This window comes from Homo sapiens, chromosome X (assembly GCF_000001405.40).
Source record: "Homo sapiens chromosome X, GRCh38.p14 Primary Assembly".
In the NCBI taxonomy this organism is placed as follows: domain Eukaryota; kingdom Metazoa; phylum Chordata; class Mammalia; order Primates; family Hominidae; genus Homo; species Homo sapiens.
This window is the reverse complement of record NC_000023.11, coordinates 10994647-11016870: the sequence shown is the minus strand read 5'-3', so window position 1 is coordinate 11016870 and position 22224 is coordinate 10994647. Positions and strand designations below refer to the sequence as shown.

General features: G+C 36.8%; 1 long non-coding RNA gene across 1 annotated transcript in view, besides 1 other annotated feature; it reads left to right on the top strand.

Moving 5' to 3' along the window:
* HCCS-DT (HCCS divergent transcript) overlaps positions 1-22224 on the top strand; it is a 263596-nt gene that overhangs the window by 94268 nt on the left and 147104 nt on the right. The window lies entirely within an intron of this gene.
* Positions 9231-9742: an enhancer, noted in NCBI's record as "OCT4-NANOG hESC enhancer chrX:11025249-11025760 (GRCh37/hg19 assembly coordinates)". NCBI's record gives its function as "activates a minimal SCP1, AML or CMV promoter by ChIP-STARR-seq in naive H9 embryonic stem cells {active_cell/tissue: H9 hESC(naive)}" and the evidence as "EXISTENCE:reporter gene assay evidence [ECO:0000049][PMID:30033119]".

The window sequence follows — 22224 nt, the reverse complement described above, 5'->3', positions numbered from 1 at the left end:
CATTTCCTGACTTTTGATTTTTCACCCTTTAAACAATTTTGCATTAATGCACACCATACAGGATATTAGCTTGAGAGAAAAGAAAGAAATTTAGGATAAGGATATTTGTAAACATGTGGCACCCACAGAGAACAGTTCAATAAGACCAGATTTGCTGTTTGAATAAATATGCTTTTTAGGGCACTCAGCTTATTCTTCTAAGCATGAGAGGAAGAGAAAGACAAATCTTTATTTTGCATTTTTTATAAAAGCTATCCTAGTTTCACCTCATTTATCATTCAGCTACAAAATGAAAACTTGGCCTTTGTTCACTCACAACTCTAATTTTTCAGAAAATCATGCACAGATTTGAACAACTCTCACTTCTGAGTGGTTAACATGAAACCTTAAGTTTTTAGAATGTGGATAAGTTTTAACAAGGAAGGAAAACAATTTCAATCAGGTAAGAAAACAGTTTAATTTGGAGATTCAAGCCCTTAAATAATGGGGATCTAGAGTAGGATTAGAAATCAAGAGAGATCGAGATCCCCACAGACCATAGTTAAAATGAAACTAGTTCCAGTGTGGTGCAAATTGAAATTGATATTAATAGTTAATATTGTAGTGGATTTCAGGAGTAAATTTTCTGTACAAGTGTAGAAAACTATGATTGATATGTAATATAATGAAGTTTGCCCTGTTTCTTAACTAAGTTGTGGTCTACCACCATCCCCCCACTCTTCCTGTCCTCTCCCCATCTCTCCCTCCCTCTCCCCATCTCTCTCTCTCTTTCCACACACACTCTTTTCTCTCTCTCTCTCCCCACTCTCTCTCCTGTTTTCCAAGTGGAACAGAGTTGGCTAGAGATGATGGTCTTAGCTGTATATCCCGGTCTTAGCTGTATGTCCCTTCCACCCTCTTTCTCTTGTTGCCTAATTCCTCCTACCTCAGAACCCTGACTCTGTGGATTCACATTCTTTTGGCACTTGGTGCCAACTTGCCTTCTGCCACTTGGCCATCCAGCTATTGTGTGCTCTCTGATGGGGCAGCTGGCAGAAGAGGGGCCATCACTCCCTTGATTCACAGATGTGATCATTTAATCAATTGTTCAACAATCATTTATTGCATATCACCATGTGCCTGGCACTTGGATTGGAGTCCCTGGGAGGAATAATGTTTTTCCAACTTACCTTGACTCTTCCTCTGCAACTCCTCAAGGTCCCACTCCACAGCCTTGCATGGTGAGTAGGCTCTCACTTTCTTTGGTGATCCTGGACTCCCAATTTTGTTCTCCTAGACTTAGGAAACTGTCAGACATTTTGCTCAACTTCTCAGCTTCTTCGTTCCCTCATTTGGGCTTGACAAATGTCTTAAAGGAGAAGGAATACCCAAATGGCAGGCTTACCTCTCTGCAGTTCTGTCTGCTCCCAGTTCCTTGAAGTTAAAGTTGTTTAATCCCTTGTTAGCAGTTCAATGCCTTAAAGCAGCTGTTTTAAACAACTTTTCCAGCTTTTCTCAACAAGTTGTTTTAAACAGCTTGTCCAGTTTGTCCCTCATTGGAGGGGTGTTTCCAATGATCTAGTCTTCCCTCACCTTTTAAGATTCTTTTCCACATCTTAGCTTCCTGAGATCGTATCTCTCATACCCCTTTCTTTTAAGCAGAATTCATCATGTCATTCTCTGTGTCAGCAAACTCCTGAGTGCATGCCTGTATTAAAGAGTGTATTCCTGTTATAAAACTTACTTAAACATTTGTCTCTCGTCTTAGACAGTTCATGTGTAAAGGACACTAATTATATCTAACATATATTTGTGCCCCTAGTGCCTAATGTTGGTGCATATAATAGATCTTCAATAATGCTTATTGATGGAATAGGTGGCATTTCATATAAATGTTATTGTTCATTAGATTCAGTGTCTCAAATGAAAAGTGTGAGCTTTCTTCCCACCACAAGAAGAAAAGGAGAACGAAACTTGTATATCTCATATAGAATGCTTCAGATAGGGAAATTAGAAAACCAAGTATCATCTTTGGTTTTGTCAAAGGGAGAGTGGGGAAATAAGAAAAGATAAGTACAGTAATCATCAAGGTTAGAAAGGAAAAAAGAAAGAGAAGAAATCTTTAAATCCTTATACACAAATTTTTTGGGATGATTTTCCAAGATGTTAGCCTATTTACATTGTTCAGCCTCTGCATGTGTGTCATTATCTCCCAAAGGAGAATCACATGATACCCAAATATCTGCCTTTAATCCTCATGCCTGGTGGGATGGGTGTTCAAAAGGAAAGGAATTCTGACAATTGTTTTCAGAGATATCCACCTCAATATTTAGGGTTTCTGGGTGGATATTTGATAAATTGTGTAGAAATATTTAAAAGTACAGAATAATAATAATAAAAAGTGCACTTTCGGCACAATATGTGGATGGGAAGTAAAGGAAATGGCACTTTTTCCTCACAGTGAAAATTTATTTATAAAATACAAAAAATTGTCCTATTTACAGTACATTAATTACTGCAAATGGCATAAGCAGAAGGAATTTATGTGAAATTGCAGTTTTGCCTTTTCATTCTTGTCCTATTCTCAGCCTTTTTTTTTCTCCATATCTTCCCCTATAAAATAAAAGAAAATAGTCACATGGACAATTTCCTTCTGTTGTTTAAGGATGTCTCAATTCTCAGAGTAGCAACAGTATGCTATGATAATATTTCTAATTTCAAATTTTGCAGTTAAAAAAATACAAAACCTGTCACTCATGATCAATAATGCACAGAAATCATGGAGTGACAGTCTCTAAAATTGCCATTAAAATAATGTGAGCAACACGCTTCACCATGATCTATTTATTCAGCACAATTTTACTGTTAAAAAAACAAAGTCAAGGGAACCTGTAACTATTAAGCACCTTACCACACCGATCTTGTATTCTCCCCAATAAGCATAAGAGGTAGGTGATCTTACCCTCAGAGAGCCAAGGAAGCAAGGGTTCTGAGAGATGTAGTGCCTTGTCCAAAGCAAGGAAGTGGAAAAAGAGAATCCAAACACAAACTCCAGTTCTCTTGCTTGCAGAATCTCTGCTGTTTCCACTTGACCACACCATTTTCAGTCTTCAGGCAGGGTATGGATGGATCATGGCTCTGACACCTAAAAAAATGAACTCCTCCAATGTAATGCAAAATAAAATAATGCCAAACCCTAAAAGAAGTACAAAAACATGCCACATTGTCTTACTTTTTTCCCCATGGTAAATATTTTATTTATTTATAGAAGTATCAATAACCAATTTTTTTCAAAGAGCCCTCTCTCTCCCTCCTCTACCCTCTCTCCCACCCGCTTGGTAGTGTTCTAAGCACATAGCTTGTTTTTCATTTGTGTAATCTGGTACTAGTCAGGGTAGGAAAACTTTTTCTCTATCGAGCAGAGTTTCTTAAGTAAGGTTTATGGGCAACTAAGGAGTCAATAGAGGGATGAAAGATATCGATGAGAGCTCTGATGTAATGTGCAAAATGTTGTGTATATAGGCAGTTTTCTGGGGTGTAGGGTAGAGCTTTTGTTGCTGTCCTCAATAGATGAAAAACCATTGTTTACACATTCTCTTCTAAATTAATAACAAGGATTATAAAATGTTATTCAATAACTACCAAAAATCAAGATAATTCTTGCTAACTTATCCTTACATAGCTTTTCATCTCTCCTTGGCATTGTTCTAAGCATTTTATGTATATTATTTAATCCTCACAAGAACCCAACGTAGTTAGTATTATCATGGTTTCCACTTTATTTAAGGTGCAAGATATTTCATAAATAAAAACATCTCAGTTCTATATTATGATAATAGCTAATGGAGAAAGGTAGAAGAACAGAAGAGAGGGAAAGAGAAAAAGGAAGAAAAATAGAGCAAGGAAGGATGCAGATGAAAGGGTGAGGAAGAGAAATCTAGTGCTGAAGTATTGTAGGAAAACAGAAGTGACAACTATGTATAGGCTGGGGCAACCATAGCTGTAAAAACACAATTCTGCTATTTGCCAAAGCTACAAGCATTAACAGATTAATTATTTTAGAAGAAAAAAGAATACATAAATGATTAGATTAAAAACATGTATAAACACTGTCAGAATTTATTAGGAGAACTGTCTGAATTTCAGCCTAATGTTTAGAAGCACAGACATTTCTGAAAAGTTCTCTTTTCTTCATTTGATGGAAAATCCTTATTCACACAGTGTGGAAACAGGCTGAGAAAATAGTCATTTCATTGAATAAACATCCATCTTCCACATGGTCTTTTGGACATTAATTAATGGTTCCTCATAGCTCACCCTGTATATTGGTGAAATTAAGCCAAGAACTGTATCAAGACTATGGATGAATGCCTGTCTATCCTTCCTCACTCGCCAAGTCTACCATGAAATTAAACTGAGCTGTTATAATTGGAAAGCGGATTATCTATATTGTAACTGAAATGCTCTCAGTACGTTTAAACTAGCCCTGTATAGTGCCTGTGATGATAAATATTGTAGGAATTTGAACTAGATTCTTTCTTCTCTTTAATGAAAAGCTCATGAATACAGTAAGTGCCTTTAGGATAGGGAAGTTAGTATGGTTTTCCTTTCATATTAAAGAAGTTTTGTTACTTGAGAGAGAATGAATGATCTTGGCTCAGTGTTGAGTTTCTCATTTTCTTTTGTTTTCATCTTTAAAAATGTGGGGAGAAGAGTGGGTTTGAATATAAAAATTGACTTTGTTTTTTCCTTTATTCTCAATGATCAAGGTGGATCTGAGATGCACATTTTTCAAGCAAGTGTTTTCTAATATATTTGGTATTTGTTGTGTTATGTCTCCCCTACACCACCCCTCATCCCTCACATACATTGTCTACTCTACAAGACTGTAGAGCCATGGAATTAGGGCCACAACTTAGGGAACAGGGGCAGGGAGGGACCATTCAGGCTCTATGTGAATTGTTTTTCTCACAGAACTAATGGATTCACAATTTAGACTAAATGGCTATCAAAGATGGACGTTAAATACCTTGAATTGGCTCTGAATGACCAAATTTTCTTTCAAAAAGCTAAGCATATATATTTCAAAGGTAGAAAGGGAACTTGCATATTCATTGTTCTCTTTATGTTCACTTATAAAAATACGTACTCCCTACTTGCCCATTTCTTTTCATTGGACATAGACTGTTGTCACAATCAGCTCATGAAGCTGTCAGCAGATCCATGGAGACTGCTTTAAAGTAAAGGCAATGTAACATCAATGCAAATCCCATGATTATTAACGAAACAAATAGAATTCATTTAAAATGACTTTTACAGTTGAAGTCTCCTCTCAGAAATCTTCCCCACTATTCTGTTTCCGTTTCAAAGTCACATCTTTGTTAATGACATCATGGAATCCTGAATTCAAATTGCTTGTGTTTTGTTAAGCTTTGGGAACACTCATGCTAGAGTTCCAGCTTTGCTAGGGCATATTAGAAAACCACATACTATTTAAAAGGGTTTTAGTATTGGTTAAACACTTTGTGTATTAAAATGCTATATTATTGCAGCAGAGTTGAAAATCTTCCCTTGAATTGGGAATATTAAGTAAAAGAATTCAGCTAAAGGTATATCACTAAAATATTTGCAGATAAAGAACATTTGAATTATGACTCCAATTTTTACTCACTTTTTCCAAAAAGAAAATTTATTAAGTGCTTGCCATCTGCCAGACATTGGCTATATGTTAAATAAGGAGAAGAGAATAATGTAAAGAAAGATCAGGCATACCCATGATGCTCAAGGATTTTTTTGGAATTTATAAGTGAGGGAAATGCAAATGCATAATTCCAGTACAGCATGCTGAGGGCCATGGCAGGGGTATGCCTCATGAGATTGAGAGCCAATTGCCTGAAGGAATCTGGTGATTAGTTTTGGAAGGGAAATATAAATCTGGCCATCAAAGAGGAAGGATGTTGTGGGTAGTTGCCAGATTCTCTAGCTGCCTAGACCGTTTAAACACTCTTGTAATGGTTGGGAAACTTCTTGCATCCCCAATATAGAAGGCAAAAACCTTTCTTCACCAGACTCACTTGGAGCTAAACACTTGCCTATTACCTAGATTCCAGCAGTCAGAGGGGTAAACAGGAGACATTGATATATAGGTGAGCAATGGAAGTGGTAGGTGTGTGGGTTTGCCTTTTGGAGACAGAAGTAGAGCTTTAGTGTGAGCAATGCAGGGGTGGGGAAATCTGTGATGTTGAGTCAGAAAGAGGAGGCTAGGGTATTTGGGTATTGTTCTTGGCATCTGAGTACACAAAAGTCCCTGACTCTTCTGGGAACTTTGTAAGCTTCTTCATACCGCTCAATATGTTTTGTGAACTACCAGTATCCTATAATAAATGTCCTTTTGCTAGAATGAGTATAGTTTGGACTTGAGGACCTCGACTGATAGAAATATGTAGGTATTTATGGTTTGGCCAAGGCAGAAAGAAGAGGGTGTGCAAAGAAAAGAAGAAATTAAGGAAGTAGGCTAAGTTAGAGTGTGATAGGGATGGTTTTGACGTGACCATTGGTAGTTAGGTAGGGAGTAATATAAGGAGATGAGATTAAGAAAAGTTAATATCAGATTTGGGGACAAACTAGGATATAGTTCTAAATTATCTAGACTTTACTCCATAAGCAATGGGGAACCTTTGGGAAAGTTTTAATTGAAAGACTGACAGACATTTTGATGTCTCTATTTTCAAGCAAGAACCCTGGTGGTATTGGGAGGAGGCATGAATGAAGAATTGCTCATAGTGGGAAGACCAGTTTGAAAGCTGATACCATAGTCCATGTGAAAAATAATGAGGCCCTAATGAGATGGTCACAGTGAAGATGTGGTGGGGGAGTGATGGGGGGGTTGGCAGGTGTATCTGTGAGATCTCTAGAGAGGACAATCAGTAGGACTTTATGACATGGAAATTAATGGGGCTGGCGCAGTGGCTCACACCTGTAATCCTAACATTTTGGGAGGCCAAAGCAGGTGGATTGCCTGAGCTCAGGAGTTCAAGACCACCCTCGGCAACATTGCAAAACCCCATCTCTACTAAAAATACAAAAATTAGCTGGGTGTGGTGGCAGATGCCTGTAATCCCAGCTACTCAGGAGGCTGAGGCATGAGAATTACTTGAACCTGGGAGGCAGAGGTTGCAAAGAGTCGAGATCATGCCACTGCACTCCAGCCTGGGCGATAGAGCAAGACTCTGTCTCCAAAAACAAACAAAAAAAGTAATGGGTCATGAGGAAGAAAAATAGGGATAACTCAAGTTTTCCAATTTACATTATTAGGTGAATAGTAATGAAAGTTATTGAGATGGGAATTATAGTGGAAAAAGCAAGTCCTGAAGTGAATGTGAGAGGATAAGTTAATTTTAGACATCAAATTTTAAGTACTTGAAGGAAATAGTTGGGAATACACATCTGGAATTTTATAGAGCAGTCAATGTTGTAGATAAAATTCAAAATCATTAGTAATTAAGTGGTAGTTGGAGTCATGGGCATAGATATAATAAACAAGGGAGAGTATGTAGGGAAAAAAGGAGCAGAGATCTGGATAGGGGCTGGGGAGGTGTAATTTTAAGGGGATGGAAAGAAATCAGTATAAAAGACGGAAAACTGGGAAAGGATCATCAAAGATGTAGAAGGAAAACTAGAAGCGACACTCAAGCAGACTTGAGTCTTCTACTGTTGGAAATTAATGTCTTCTTTTACTTCATCTTAACATGAAGGTCCTGCTATTACCTTTAAAAATATTTTTCTTTCACTGGAATATTCCACATAGCATACATCGGAACGTTAACTGTGTTCAGTGGGTACTGCCACTAATTCATCTTGAAACCCCTATGTTCAAGGTTTTAGAAGAGTGTATAATGTACATAAAATAAATACAATAGAGTAAGCATTAAGTACATGGGTTAGGTTTTCTGCAGAAAGTGAACAGTCTTCATTTCCTTTATAGATTTCTAAGTGGTAAAACCACCAAACAATTCCTTGTGATAAATCACTGCAGACAGCATGAAAAATTTCCTTAGGTAATTATTACACTCAAGGATTTCTGGTAAGGCAACCAAACGAGCATAATACTGACAGTCCAGACACCTTAGTTTGAGCTTTCAACAGGTGATCCACAGAACAACATTCAAATTTATATGTTCACATGAATGGAAACATTTGGCACATGTACAGAAACCTTTCTTTTCAGAAGTTAACAATTATGATTTCTAACTAGGAAATTTTATTCACAATCCTTCAATGACTTTCAGCATTGGCAACAGCTTAAAAAACTAGAGTTGGCTTAGTCCCTACTTCTAGATATTTAGCTCTTGAGTTCTTCAGTTCCTCATCTGTGATTTTTGAATATTGGATTCCCCAGATTCTTCTACAGACACACAACAGTTCTCCACCTTGTGAAAGATTTCTCCAGGAGTAAGAATTATTCTCAGTTCCTTTAATGTGCTATTACCATTTTGTCCCATCCTGCCTGGAATCATCTCTATACTCTTCTCCTGCCCACTTCTAGATCCAAAGGGGAAAGAGCCCTGCACTCTAATTGCTGATATAAGAATTCACCATCAATATCAAATCCCATGCCTTTTCATCTTATATTTACCTGGCATTTTTCATGGTGACATATCCAATGAATTGCAAACAGAAATACCCTGGATCACAAATACGTTTATAATGGTAACCAACAACATTCATGTAATTTTTTTAGCAGCCTTCAGTACAAACTTAGGAATGGTGAAAGCAAATGACTACTATGGGTTGGAGGTTGACAGAATTGGGCATAATAGGCAAATTGAAGGTTTTCAGGAGAGCCAGTGAAATAACTAACCCTAGAGTCCAAACTGGGGAAGGAAATTTATGAATTTATTTATTCTTTTAGCTGATTATTGTGTGCTTGTTCCACTAGGGCCAGATTACTCTTATGTCCCCAGGTTTTTGCTGTTTAAAGGAAATATTTAAGAAGGGAAATATTTAAGAAAGGAAATGATAATATATTTCACAGATGAGGAAACAGAGGTTCAGAGAAAGTAAGTAACATGTGTAAGAACTAGTAAGTGGTGAACTACAAAGTCAGACCTGGTCTGTCTGCCTCAAAGGTCCATGCTCCTTTCACTACACCATGCTGGAATCCTTGAATCCTTCACAAACTTATCAGGGGAACCCGCCCCTGATAATTCAACGTGGATCCTTTTCTATTTTCCCTAAGTGTCGGCCGGTCTGAGAAATAAAGGGAAAGAGTACAAAAGAGAGAAATTTTAAAGCTGGGTGTCTGAGGGAGATATCACATGCCGGCAGGTTCCGTGATGCCCCCTGAGCCATAAAACCAGCAAGTTTTTGTTAGCAATTTTCAAAAGGGAGGGAGTGCATGAATAGGGTGTGGGTCACAGAGATCACATGCTTCAAGGGCAACAAAAGATCACAAGGCAGAAGGTCAGGGCGAAACTAGAATCACTAATGAACTTCCATGTCCCGCTGTGCACGCATTGTCAGGGTTCAAGAGCAGAGAACTGGTCTGACTAGAATTCGCCAGGCTGGAATTTCCTAATCCTAGCAAGCCTGGGGGCGCTGCACGAGACTAGGGCGTGTTTCATCCCTATCTACAGCTGCATAAGGCAGACACTCCCAGGACGGCCATTTTAGAGGCCCCCTCTGGGAATGCATTCTTTTCCCAGGGCTGTTAATTATTAATATTCCTTACTGGGGAAAGAATTCAGTGATATTTCTCTTACCTGTTTTCGGTAATAAGAGAAATATGGCTCTGTCCTGCCCAGCCCACAGGCAGCCAGACTTTAAGATTATCTCCCTTGTTCCTGAAAATCGCTGTTATCCTGTTCTTAAGGTGCCCAGATTTCATATTGTTTAAACAATTTGTGCAGTTAACACAATCATCACAGGGTCCTGAGGCAACATACCTCCTCAGTTTATGAAGATGACAGGATTAAGAGATTAAAGTAAAGACAGGCATAGGAAATCACAAGAATATTGATTGGGGAAGTGATAAATGTCCATGAAATCTTCACAATTTATGTTCAGAGATTGCAGTAAAGACAGGTGTAAGAAATTATAAAAGTATTAATTTGGGGAACTAATAAATGTCCATGAAATCTTCCCAATTTATGTTCTTCTGCTGTGGCTTCAGCTGGTCCCTCTGTTCGGGGTCCCTGACTTCCCATGACACAAAATCATGTTGCCCTTAACACTTCCCTCTGTTATTCAAGGGGTCATGCAACCCTGAGAGCAGGTCAGGTGCCTCAATATAAAGGTCCAGGGGCCATGGACCCTGACACAGTCAGAACCTGTGTCTCTACATCTGGGAAGATATAACCATCAGACTAAGGTTTGCTGTCCTTCAAGCATTATCCCCTGATGTAGGAATGTAGTCAGGAAGTTTGACAGCTTTCACATCTGTCTCCTTGAGTGCTCTGCCCTCCCAGACTCCCTCTCCCTAAGACAGTCTTCAATATCTGGTCTCTGACACTCCAGTTTGGTTTTGAAATGCTTTTGGTTTCTCTGGCCATGCTATGTTCCAGGGAAGAGCTGTTTTGTTTTGGTTTTTCTCATGCCTTAAGTTCTGTTTTGGTCAAAGCAACAGCTTCCTTCCCAATTTATATTACAGTGGAGGTTTTCCACTCAATAAGGAAGAAAAACATCAATTATAGTAGAAACCAGTGGGAGAGGTAAGGGGACCTGGTGGATGAGAGGAGGGAAGAAGGAAGAGAAAATGAGGAATGAAAGGGACCAAAAAAGGAAAAGTTGTTAAAAGCTTGACACACACACACACAAAAATGGAGGAGGTAATTATGGCTGAAAGGTTGTGGGGAGAGGTCATTAGGAAGTCTTTAAGATTAAAAAAATAATATATCCAACTCTGGGGAGGTGACAAGGTCATTAAGCGTTGCTGGAAGCAGTGTAAATTAGTATGGCTTTTTTGGCAAGAATCTAGAGTTTGGCAAGAGCCTTAAAACTGTTTATACCTGGCCAGGCACTGTGGCTCATGCCTGTAATCCCAGCACTTTTGGAGGCCGAGGCGGGTGGATCATGAGATCACGAGATCCAGACCAATCTGATCAACATGGTGAAACCCCATCTCTACTAAAAATAGAAAAATTAGCTGGGCATGGTGGCACACGCCTGTAATCCCAGCTACTCGGGAGGCTGAGGCAGGAGAATTGCTTGAACCTGGGAAGCGGAGGTTGCAGTGAGCCAAGATCGCACCACTACACTCCATCCTGGTGACGGAGCAAGACTCTGTCTCAAAAAAAAAAAAAAAAATGTTTATACCCTTTGGCTCAATATTGTACTTCTGGAAATATATCCTAAAAATACTTCTGAATTTTGAAGCCTATAGAAAAAAAGAACTTCGTGCACAAAATTTTTTTCTCAGTAATAGTTATGTAACTAAATAATTGGTGACAACCAATGTGGCTATCAATAGACAAGTGGTTAAATAGTTTTGACCATTCAGTAATTCCTATTACTTGATTGAATATTAGGTAGCCATTGAAAATGATTGTTTTCCAAGACCATGTAATGTAACAAGTGCTTACAATAAAAACAAGCTACAAAAAACTATATCATCCAAATTATGTTTACAAATGAAGAAATAAGTGTCTGTGAGAAATGGTGTTGGAAAACACACCAATGTATTAATACTGATAGTGTTTTAGTAGTGAGACTACAGGGTTGGTATTTTTTTAACAAAGCAATTCTTAAAATTAAGATATTATTTACACACAATAAAATTCACCCATTTTTAGTGTACAATGTGATACATTGTGGTATTGTGTACAATTGGTTACCAGCACCTCAATCAAGAAGTTCCATGTGAGGGATGAAAAATTACCTATTGGGTACAATGTACACTCTTCAGGTGATGGGTATACAGTAAAGCCCAGACTTCACCATTGTGCAATTTATCCATGTAACCAAAAAGCGCTTGTACTACTAAAACTACTGAATTTTTTTTTTTTTAAGAAGTTCCCTTATGGCCTTTCACAGTGAATCTCCTCTTCTCACCCCTGACCCCAGACAACTGCTACTGATCTTTTCTCTGTCAACGAAAGTTTTTCCTTATCTAGAATGGCACATACATGGTTTCATATGGTATACAAGACTATTGTTTTTAGCGATAATCTACTTTAAAATGTTTCTTCAATGAGTACATTAAAAAATAATTTGAACCTAAAACATAGACTTCAACTGTTTCTTTTTCCACTAAATGCAAAGTGGGAAAGAAATAAAGAGCTTTGATTACTTAAGAGAAGATAGTTCAAGCAGACCTAAGTTATCAGCGAGCTCAGAAAATCTCCCTGCTTAGAGGCTATAAATAGTATGGTGTAATACTGATCCTCATTCAAAGCTGTGATAGAGTAGAAGATAACTTTTCAAAGTTTGTTTCTAACCCGATAAGAGGATAATAGGAGAAGAGAGAGATAAGAAGAGATGTTTGTAAGCAGAAAACTATAAAGGGGGGATATTTTTCATTGTTTTGTATTCTGAACATATGCTATTATAAATTTACCATTCCGGAACATTCTCTTTAAATAATGCAAAGCTTGTCTGACCACCCAGCTATATTTCTGTTTTTCATTTTTAATGTCTGCACATTAGTCATTTATTTTAAGCTATGTAATTATAAGACAAAAGATGCTAGGTTAAGTATAACCACCCATGAACATAAAGCCATTTTTAGTAAAATTACAGTCTGAGTTACTATATGTAGTCATGTGATTATCTGCATAAACACCTATGAATTTGGAGTCAGTATGAAATAACAAAGTTAAATATTGAGTGAAAAATGCTATACACACATTATGTTTTTATGTGTGTGCACATCAATATATATGCAGTTGAGAATGTTAAATAGAAGTGTTCTTTCATTCTTTCCTTATTTTACAAAAGAAAAAATTTTGAATGTTTTGCTTCCCAATAACTCCCAAATACCTTATTTAATGCTTTTTAATTGTGGTAAAATATGTGTAACAAAATTTACTATTTTAATCCTTTTAAGTGTACAGTGTAGTCGCATTAAATACATTCGCATCGTTGTGCAACCACCATCCCCATCCATTTCCAGAACTTTTCTCATCTGGCAAAACTGAAACTCTGTACCCATTAAACACAACTTGTCCTTCTTTCCTCCCAGCAAGGTTTTGGCAGCCACCATTCCACTTTCTATCTCTATGATTTTGAATACCATAAGTACCTCATATGAGTGAAATCATATGGTATTTGTCCTTTTTTTATTATATGGCAGAACATTTCTATGAGTATTTCCTCATGGTGACATAGGGAAGTTGATCCTATAATGATACAAAGATGCTCTGGGATGCTTTCCTCATGTATCTTGATGGTCCTTGACAGGAATATCTCTATCTGTATTTCTTGCTGGTATATAGTTAACTATTAATGGTACACCATGTTGTAGCCATATAATAAAACAGAGTAGTACTTAACCTCACTGAAGGACTCTGTTGTGTTGGGTACTTGACAGGAATTTTTAATCTGGAAATTTCTTAAATTTTAGGAAATTTATTTTTGTATTATTTCTTATATACTTTTCTCCCTACACTATTCTCTGCTCTCTTTCTGAAATTTCTAATAATTTGGATTTTAGACCTCTTAAACTTATTTTCTAATGTTTTTCTCTTCCTCTCTAGTTTTCCCAATTGTTTGTTTTAATTTCTGGTCAAGATTGTCAACTTCTAATCCTTCTTCTAAATTTCTAATCCTTCTCCTACATTTTAATTACTGTTATCATGATTTTAATTTCTATGATCTGATTTTTATTTCTTTCTTTTTAAAAATAAAACCCTGTTCTACTTTCCTGAATGCCATATCTTTTTTATCTCTTGGATGATATTATAGTTTTTTGAAGTATCTTCTCACTGATTTACTTCTATTTTCTTCAATTCCTCTTTGGTATTCACCTATCACTCACATTAGAGGCTTTCTCGAAGGTCTGAGGATCCTTTGCTTCCACCATGTAAAAAAGAGCTAATTGATAGCTCTGGATTCCTGTGTGGATGTTGGGGGAGGAGGGCCTTATAGAGTGTGGACTTTAATGTAGGATCACTGGGATGAGTTATCTGGGTCAGGTGGGGGGTACAAATCTCAGTAGCTTTGAGCCTCTTCTTTGAGCTCAGTTTCCCAGGGAGAAGTTTTCCATCTCCCTCCTGGGATATTTAATGCTGGCTTCTCAGTGGGATCTCACTCATCAGGCAGTAGATTTTTACTTTATTGTTCTGTCTACAGTGCAGCATCCTTTTCTCTGACCAGCCGCAAGTCCAGGGTTCCTTTGATTCATCACTGCCAGAGAATAGGTCTGCAGACTTTTACTGAAATGGGAGTAGTTTCCAGATTGTTTGAGTTAGGGAAGAGATACATGTCCCTAACTGCTTTTTAAAATGCAGCTAATTTGTGTGCTATTTTCAATTTTACCTGTAACCCAATTTAATTTATTTTATTTTTTTATTTTAATTTTTATTTTATTTTATTATTATTATACTTTAAGTTTTAGGGCACAGGTGCACAATGTGCAGGTTAGTTACATATGTATACATGTGCCATGCTGGTGTGCTGCACCCATTAACTCCTCATTTAGCATTAGGTATATCTCCTAATGCTATCCCTCCCCCCTCCCCCCACCCCACAGCAGTCCCCAGAGTGTGATGTTCCCCTTCCTGTGTCCATGTGTTCTCATTGTTCAATTCCCACCTATGAGTGAGAACATGCGGTGTTTGGTTTTTTGTCCTTGTGATAGTTTACTGAGAATGATGATTTCCAATTTCATCCATGTCCCTACAAAGGACATGAACTCATCATTTTTTATGGCTGCATAGTATTCCATGGTGTATATGTGCCACATTTTCTTGATCCAGTCTATCATTGTTGGACATTTGGGTTGGTTCCAAGTCTTTGCTATTGTGAATAGTGCCGCAATAAACATACGTGTGCATGTGTCTTTATAACAGCATGATTTATAATCCTTTGGGTATATACCCAGTAATGGGATGGCTGGGTCAAATGGTATTTCTAGTTCTAGATCCCTGAGGAATCACCACACTGTCTTCCACAATGGTTGAACTAGTTTACAGTCCCACCAACAGTGTAAAAGTGTTCCTATTTCTCCACATTCTCTCCAGCACCTGTTGTTTCCTGACTTTATAATGATTACCATTCTAACTGGTGTGAGATGGTATCTCATTGTGGTTTTGATTTGCATTTCTCTGATGGCCAGTGATGGTGAGCATTTTTTCATGTGTTTTTTGGCTGCATAAATGTCTTCTTTTGAGAAGTGTCTGTTCATGTCCTTCGCCCACTTTTTGATGGGGTTGTTTGTTTTTTTCTTGTAAATTTGTTGGAGTTCATTGTAGATTCTGGATATTAGCCCTTTGTCAGATGAGTAGGTTGCGAAAATTTTCTCCCATTTTGTAGGTTGCCTGTTCACTCTGATGGTAGTTTCTTTTGCTGTGCAGAAGCTCTTTAGTTTAATTAGATCCCATTTGTCAATTTTGTCTTTTGTTGCCATTGCTTTTGGTGTTTTAGACATGAAGTCCTTGCCCATGCCTATGTCCTGAATGGTATTGCCTAGGTTTTCTTCTAGGGTTTTTATGGTTTTAGGTCTCACATTTAAGTCTTTAATCCATCTTGAATTAATTTTAGTATAAGGTGTAAGGAAGGGATGCAGTTTCAGCTTTCTACATATGGCTAGCCAGTTTTCCCAGCACCATTTATTAAATAGGGAATCCTTTCCCCATTGCTTGTTTTTCTCAGGTTTGTCAAAGATCAGATAGCTGTAGATATGCGGCGTTATTTCTGAGGGCTCTGTTCTGTTCCATTGATCTATATCTCTGTTTTGGTACCAGTACCATGCTGTTTTGGTTACTGTAGCCTTGTAGTATAGTTTGAAGTCAGGTAGCGTGATGCCTCCAGCTTTGTTCTTTTGGCTTAGGATTGACTTGGCGATGCGGGCTCTTTTTTGGTTCCATATGAACTTTAAAGTAGTTTTTTCCAATTCTGTGAAGAAAGTCATTGGTAGCTTGATGGGGATGGCATTGAATCTATAAATTACCTTGGGCAGTATGGCCATTTTCACGATATTGATTCTTCCTACCCATGAGCATGGAATGTTCTTCCATTTGTTTGTATCCTCTTTTATTTCATTGAGCAGTGGTTTGTAGTTCTCCTTGAAGAGGTCCTTCATGTCCCTTGTAAGTTGGATTCCTAGGTATTTTATTTTCTTTGAAGCAATTGTGAATGGGAGTTCACTGATGATTTGCCTCTCTGTTTGTCTGTTATTGGTGTATAAGAATATTTGTGATTTTTGCACGTTGATTTTGTATCCTGAGACTTTGCTGAAGTTGCTTATCAGCTTAAGGGGATTTTGGGCTGAGACAATGGGGTTTTCTAGATATACAATCATGTCATCTGCAAACAGGGACAATTTGACTTCCTCTTTTCCTAATTGAATACCCTTTATTTCCTTCTCCTGCGTAATTGCCCTGGCCAGAACTTCCAACACTATGTTGAATAGGAGTGGTGAGAGAGGGCATCCCTGTCTTGTGCCAGTTTTCAAAGGGAATGCTTCCAGTTTTTGCCCATTCAGTATGATATTGGCTGTGGGTTTGTCATAGATAGCTCTTATTATTTTGAGATACGTCCCATCAGTACCTAATTTATTGAGAGTTTTTAGCATGAAGCGTTGTTGAATTTTGTCAAAGGCCTTTTCTGCATCTATTGAGATAATCATATGGTTTTTGTCTTTGATTCTGTTTATATGCTGGATTACATTTATTGATTTGCGTATATTGAACCAGCCTTGCATCCCAGGGATGAAGCCCACTTGATCATGGTAGATAAGCTTTTTGATGTGCTGCTGGATTCGGTTTGCCAGTATTTTATTGAGGATTTTTGCATCAATGTTCATCAAGGATATTGGTCTAAAATTCTCTTTTTTGGTTGTGTCTCTGCCCGGCTTTGGTATCAGGATGCTGCTGGCCTCATAAAATGAGTTAGGGAGGATTCCCTCTTTTTGTATTGATTAGAATAGTTTCAGAAGGAATGGTACCAGTTCCTCCTTGTACCTCTGGTAGAATTCGGCTGTGAATCCATCTGGTCCTGGACTCTTTTTGGTTGGTAAGCTATTGATTATTGCCACAATTTCAGAGCCTGTTATTGGTCTATTCAGAGATTCAACTTCTTCCTGGTTTAGTCTTGGGAGGGTGTATGTGTCGAGGAATTTATCGATTTCTTCTAGATTTTCTAGTTTATTTGCGTAGAGGTGTTTATAGTATTCTCTGATGGTAGTTTGTATTTCTGTGGGATCAGTGGTGATATCCCCTTTATCATTTTTTATTGCGTCTATTTGATTCTTCTCTCTTTTTTTCTTTATTAGTCTTGCTAGCAGTCTATCAATTTTGTTGATCATTTCAAAAAACCAGCTCCTGGATTCATTAATTTTTTGAAGGGTTTTTTGTGTCTCTATTTCCTTCAGTTCTGCTCTGATCTTAGTTATTTCTTGCCTTCTGCTAGCTTTTGAATGTGTTTGCTCTTGCTTTTCTAATTCTTTTAATTATGATGTTAGGGTGTCAATTTTAGATCTTTCCTGCTTTCTCTTGTGGGCATTTAGTGCTATAAATTTCCCTCTACACACTGCTTTGAATGTGTCCCAGAGATTCTGGTATGTTGTGTCTTTGTTCTCGTTGGTTTCAAAGAACATCTTTATTTCTGCCTTCATTTACCTGTAACCCAATTTTAAAGGTAACCAGTGGTTCTAATTCCTGAGTGATTCCGGAGTTCTATGGTATGAATCGTCCTGCTTTGGGGTTTTTCTTATTACCATTGTAAATTTCATCTCTATTTCTGCTTCCAAAATACAGTGGCTGTGGCTTTTTTCCCCCTAGTTCTTTATCTTTGTGAGTTTTGGCCTTTTTATATCCCTGTAATTTTAATAGTGTTTGGGGAAGGTATAGAGGTGAACATGTGTGTATCTAGGCTGATATGTGTGATTGGAAACTCGATGTGTGATTTTTAGATCCCTACTGTATTTTTATTATTATTTAAATACGATTTTTTAGCTGTATGTTACTGAATTGTGATTAGAAAACATGGGCTGTATGATATTAGTTCTTTGGTGTTGAGATATTCTTCGTGAACTATTACATGGTCATTATTGTAAATGTTCCATGAATATTTGAAAATAAGCTCAATTGTCTTAGGTGGGTGCAGAAATTTTCTGTTTCAATTAATTAAGGTTTGTTAATTGTGTTGTCAAAGTCTTCTATTTCCTTGCTATATACTTGATTTCTGAGAGAGTCATCTTCCTTTGTATTACTATGAGTATCATTTCCACAATTTCTCCTAGTAGTACTTTCCATTTTTTGCTTTATATATTTTGATGCTACTCTGTTGAATGCACACACATTTGGGATCTTTACATATTCCTGGTGAATTTTTCATTTACCACTTTATGAAGAGCCTCTTTACCTTGAAATCTCTTTTGCTGTCAAGTCTATTCTAGCTAGTGTGTACTAGTGTTCTTTCAGAATGTTTCTGTTAAATCTTTTTTTATTCTTTCACTTCCATCCTTTTGTTAAAAGGTACAATTGACACACAATGAAGTACACACAGTTAAACTGTATAATTAGGTAACTTTTGACATATGTATACACCTGTGAAATTATCATTAAAATCAACATGATGAATATACTCATCACCTCCAAAAGTTACCTTGTGTTTTTCAACCCCTCCCTCTAGCCCCTCTCTGTCTCCTATCCCCAAGCAACCACTGACATGCTTTCTGTCATTATAGACTAGTTTGTAATTTCTAGAATTTCATATAAATTGAATTATACAGTGTGTACTCTCTTTTAGTCTGGCTTCTTTCAGGATAATTATTTTGGGTTCACCTATATGGTTGCTTATATAAGTAATTAATTCCTTTTTATTGCTGAATAGTGTTCCATTGTATGGGTATGCCACAATTTGTTTATCTATCCAACCACTAATGGACGTTTGGGCTGATTCCAGTTTTGGACTATTGAAAACTGGGTTGGTAATTTATGTGTAAGTCTTTCTTATGGATATATACTTTCTTTTCTCTTGGAATGGCTGGAGTGTATGGGAGATGTATAATTAACTTTTAAAGGACCTGCCAAATTGTTTTCCAAAGTGGTTGTGCCATTTTATACTCCCACCAGCAGTCTGTGAGAGTTCCAGTTTCTCTGCATTCTCACCACCAACACCTGGTATGGTTAATTTTTAAAATTTAGTTATTTTAATAGGTGTGTAATTGTGTCCCATTGTAATTTTGATTAGCATTTCCTTAATGACTAGTGATGTCAAGCACCTTTTTATGGGTTTTTTTTTTGCTCTCTGTATATTTTACTTTTGAAGTGTCTTTTCAAATCTTTTGTACACAAATGTTTGTTTAGTATCTACTTGAAATAATATTTTTCTCCTTTGACATATTCAAGTGCTTAATCAAAGTAGTAAAATTTCTAGTACTAAATCCTAGGTAAATTTTATGTTTCCAAGGTGTGTCATTTTTCAATATACAGCAGATCGTTTGGTGGTTTTTTTTTGTTTGTTTGTTTTTTTGTTTTTGAGACAGGGTCTCACTCTATTGCCCAGGCTGGAGTGCAATGGCACGAACATGGCTCAATGCAGCCTCCACCTCCTAGAGTCAAGTCGTCCTCCCACGTCAACCTGCTGAGTAGCTAGAACTACAGGTGTGTGCCACCATGCCTGGCTACTTTTTTAACATTTTAGTAGTGAGGAGGTCTCACTGTGTTGCCCAGGCTGGTCTTGAACTCCTGGGCTCAAGCAATCCCCCTGCCTTGGCCTTCCAAAGTGCTGGGATTAATAGGAGTGAGCCACCAGGCCTGGCCTCAGCAGCTGTCTTAATAGTCTTGATTTGCTTCAATTCAATGTTGATTTTTGCCTATGAATTTAAGAATAGCTTAGTCTATCATTTTTTCTATAATCTTTCCTTGTCAGATTTTTAATCAGTCTTACGTTTCTACATTTCTCATGGTCTGAAATGTTTCTAGAGCAACAGTATTCTGTCTCTTGAAAACTTGATAGAACTCATCTGTAAAGCTCTATGGACATGGTGGATTTTTTGGAGATAATTTGTAATAATCATAGTTTTAGAAGTTACTGTTATAGCCAGAAGTTTTCTTATTTCTTCTCAAGTCAATGTTGGTAACTTTTACTTTGCTAGAAATAATCCATTTAGTCAGATTTCAAAATGTTTTAGCATATGATTATAATAATATTTTTAAAAGCATCTCTGTGACTGCTTTTTTTCTTTTTTCTTTCTTTTTTCTTTTTTTTTTTTTGAGACAGGGACTCACTCTGTCGCCCAGGCTGTAGTGCAGTGGCGTGATCTCTGCTCACTGTAACCTCCACCTCCTGGGCTCAGGTGATTCTTTTGCCTCAGCCTCCCGAGTAGCTGGGATTACAGGCACCCACCACCATGCCTGACTAATTTTTGTATTTTTAGTAGAGATGGAGTTTCACCATGTTGGCCAGGCTGGTCTCGAACTCCGGACCTCAGGTAATCCGCCTTCCTTGGCCTCCCAAACTGCTGGAATTACAGGCGTGAGCCACCGCACCCAGCCTCCATGACTGTTTTTTATATTCCCTTTCTCATTTCTACATTTTGGTGTTTGATATTTCTCAGTTTTGTTTCCTAAAACTATACTGAGGGTTTTCCTGTATTTTTTTTTAATCTTTCAATTTCTCAGGTATTTGGTTTTGAAATTATTACTTTGTTCTATTTTCCAATTCATTAATTTTGCCTTTTATCTTTATTATTTCCTTTCTTGACTTTTCTTATAATCTTGTTCTCTTAGTAAGTGACTTAGCTCATTTATTTCCACTATTTTATTGATTAATTTCAATAAAATGTTATGAAGTTACCTTTGTGTACAATTTTACCACAACCTGTTTATCTTGATATGTTGTAATTGTCTTTAATTGTAGAGCTTATTTACATTATATACGTGCACAAATTTAGATTAATGCTTCTAAAATTTCCAATTTGTTTTTTTTTTTGTTGGTGTATATTTGCCTAAAATTTTGTTATAAATTTCTAAGTCATTACATTGTAGCTGGTAAAATGTCTACTTTGGGGAAATCTAAAAATAGGCTATTTGTGGGTGACAATTTGTAAACATCCTTGAATGTGAATACACATTCCTTGAGGCAAAGTTCTATATGTAACTATTAAGTAATTTTAGCAATTAAATTATTCAGTTTTTCTATATTGTATTTTGTTTTGGTCTATTGAATATTTCAGAATTGTTTTATAATAAAACACTGAAATATGCTTCTCTTAAACTCTGTTTAATTGTAGCAACATTACTTCATATATATTTCTACAGAGACCTAGACATACACTGTCCATTATGGTAGGCACTCACCACATGTGACTTTTTACATTTAAATTAATTAGAATTAAATAAAATTTTAAATTCAGTTTATATGATACTCTAGTTGAATTTCCAGTGCTCAAAAACCCCATGTGCCTAGTAGCTACCATTTTGGACTGAACAAGTATAGAACATTTCCATTGTCATAGAAAGTTCTATTGGACAGCATTGCTTGACTATTATATTTTATTGTGGATTATACCTTTGATTAGTGTAGTGTTGCTTTATTTTTTATTTATTGCAATCTGCATTTAATGCTTTCTATTTTTTCTTTCAATTTCCTGATACATATTTGCCATCCTTTTATTTTTAATACTTCTGAACATTTTGTTCTATATATTATCTCTTCTAAATAATATATAATTCTATTGCTAAAATATTTTTAAATTAGTTTAACAAATTTGTTAATTTTCATACTAATATATTTTATCTTCTGATGTCTTCATTTATTTTTTTTAAACAGCTTCCTAGTATTCTTACTGGTGTTCATCTTTTGATCCATGTGTAGAATATTGGTTAAGACCATAAGCTCAAGCATATGCCTAGTCGGGCATGGGTCCCATTTCAATATTTCAAGAATCAGAAGCTCTTAAATTCTTTGTGCCTAAATATCCTCATTTTTAAAACTTGAAAAATAGGGATAAAAATAGTACCCATTTGGTAGGGTTATCGAGAGGGTTGTAGGAATAAATGTTTTAAAAGTACCTGATACATTAGTAGTCAGTGCTCATAACTACTACTAGTTATTTTTTGGGCTGCTTTGTCTCTAGAAACA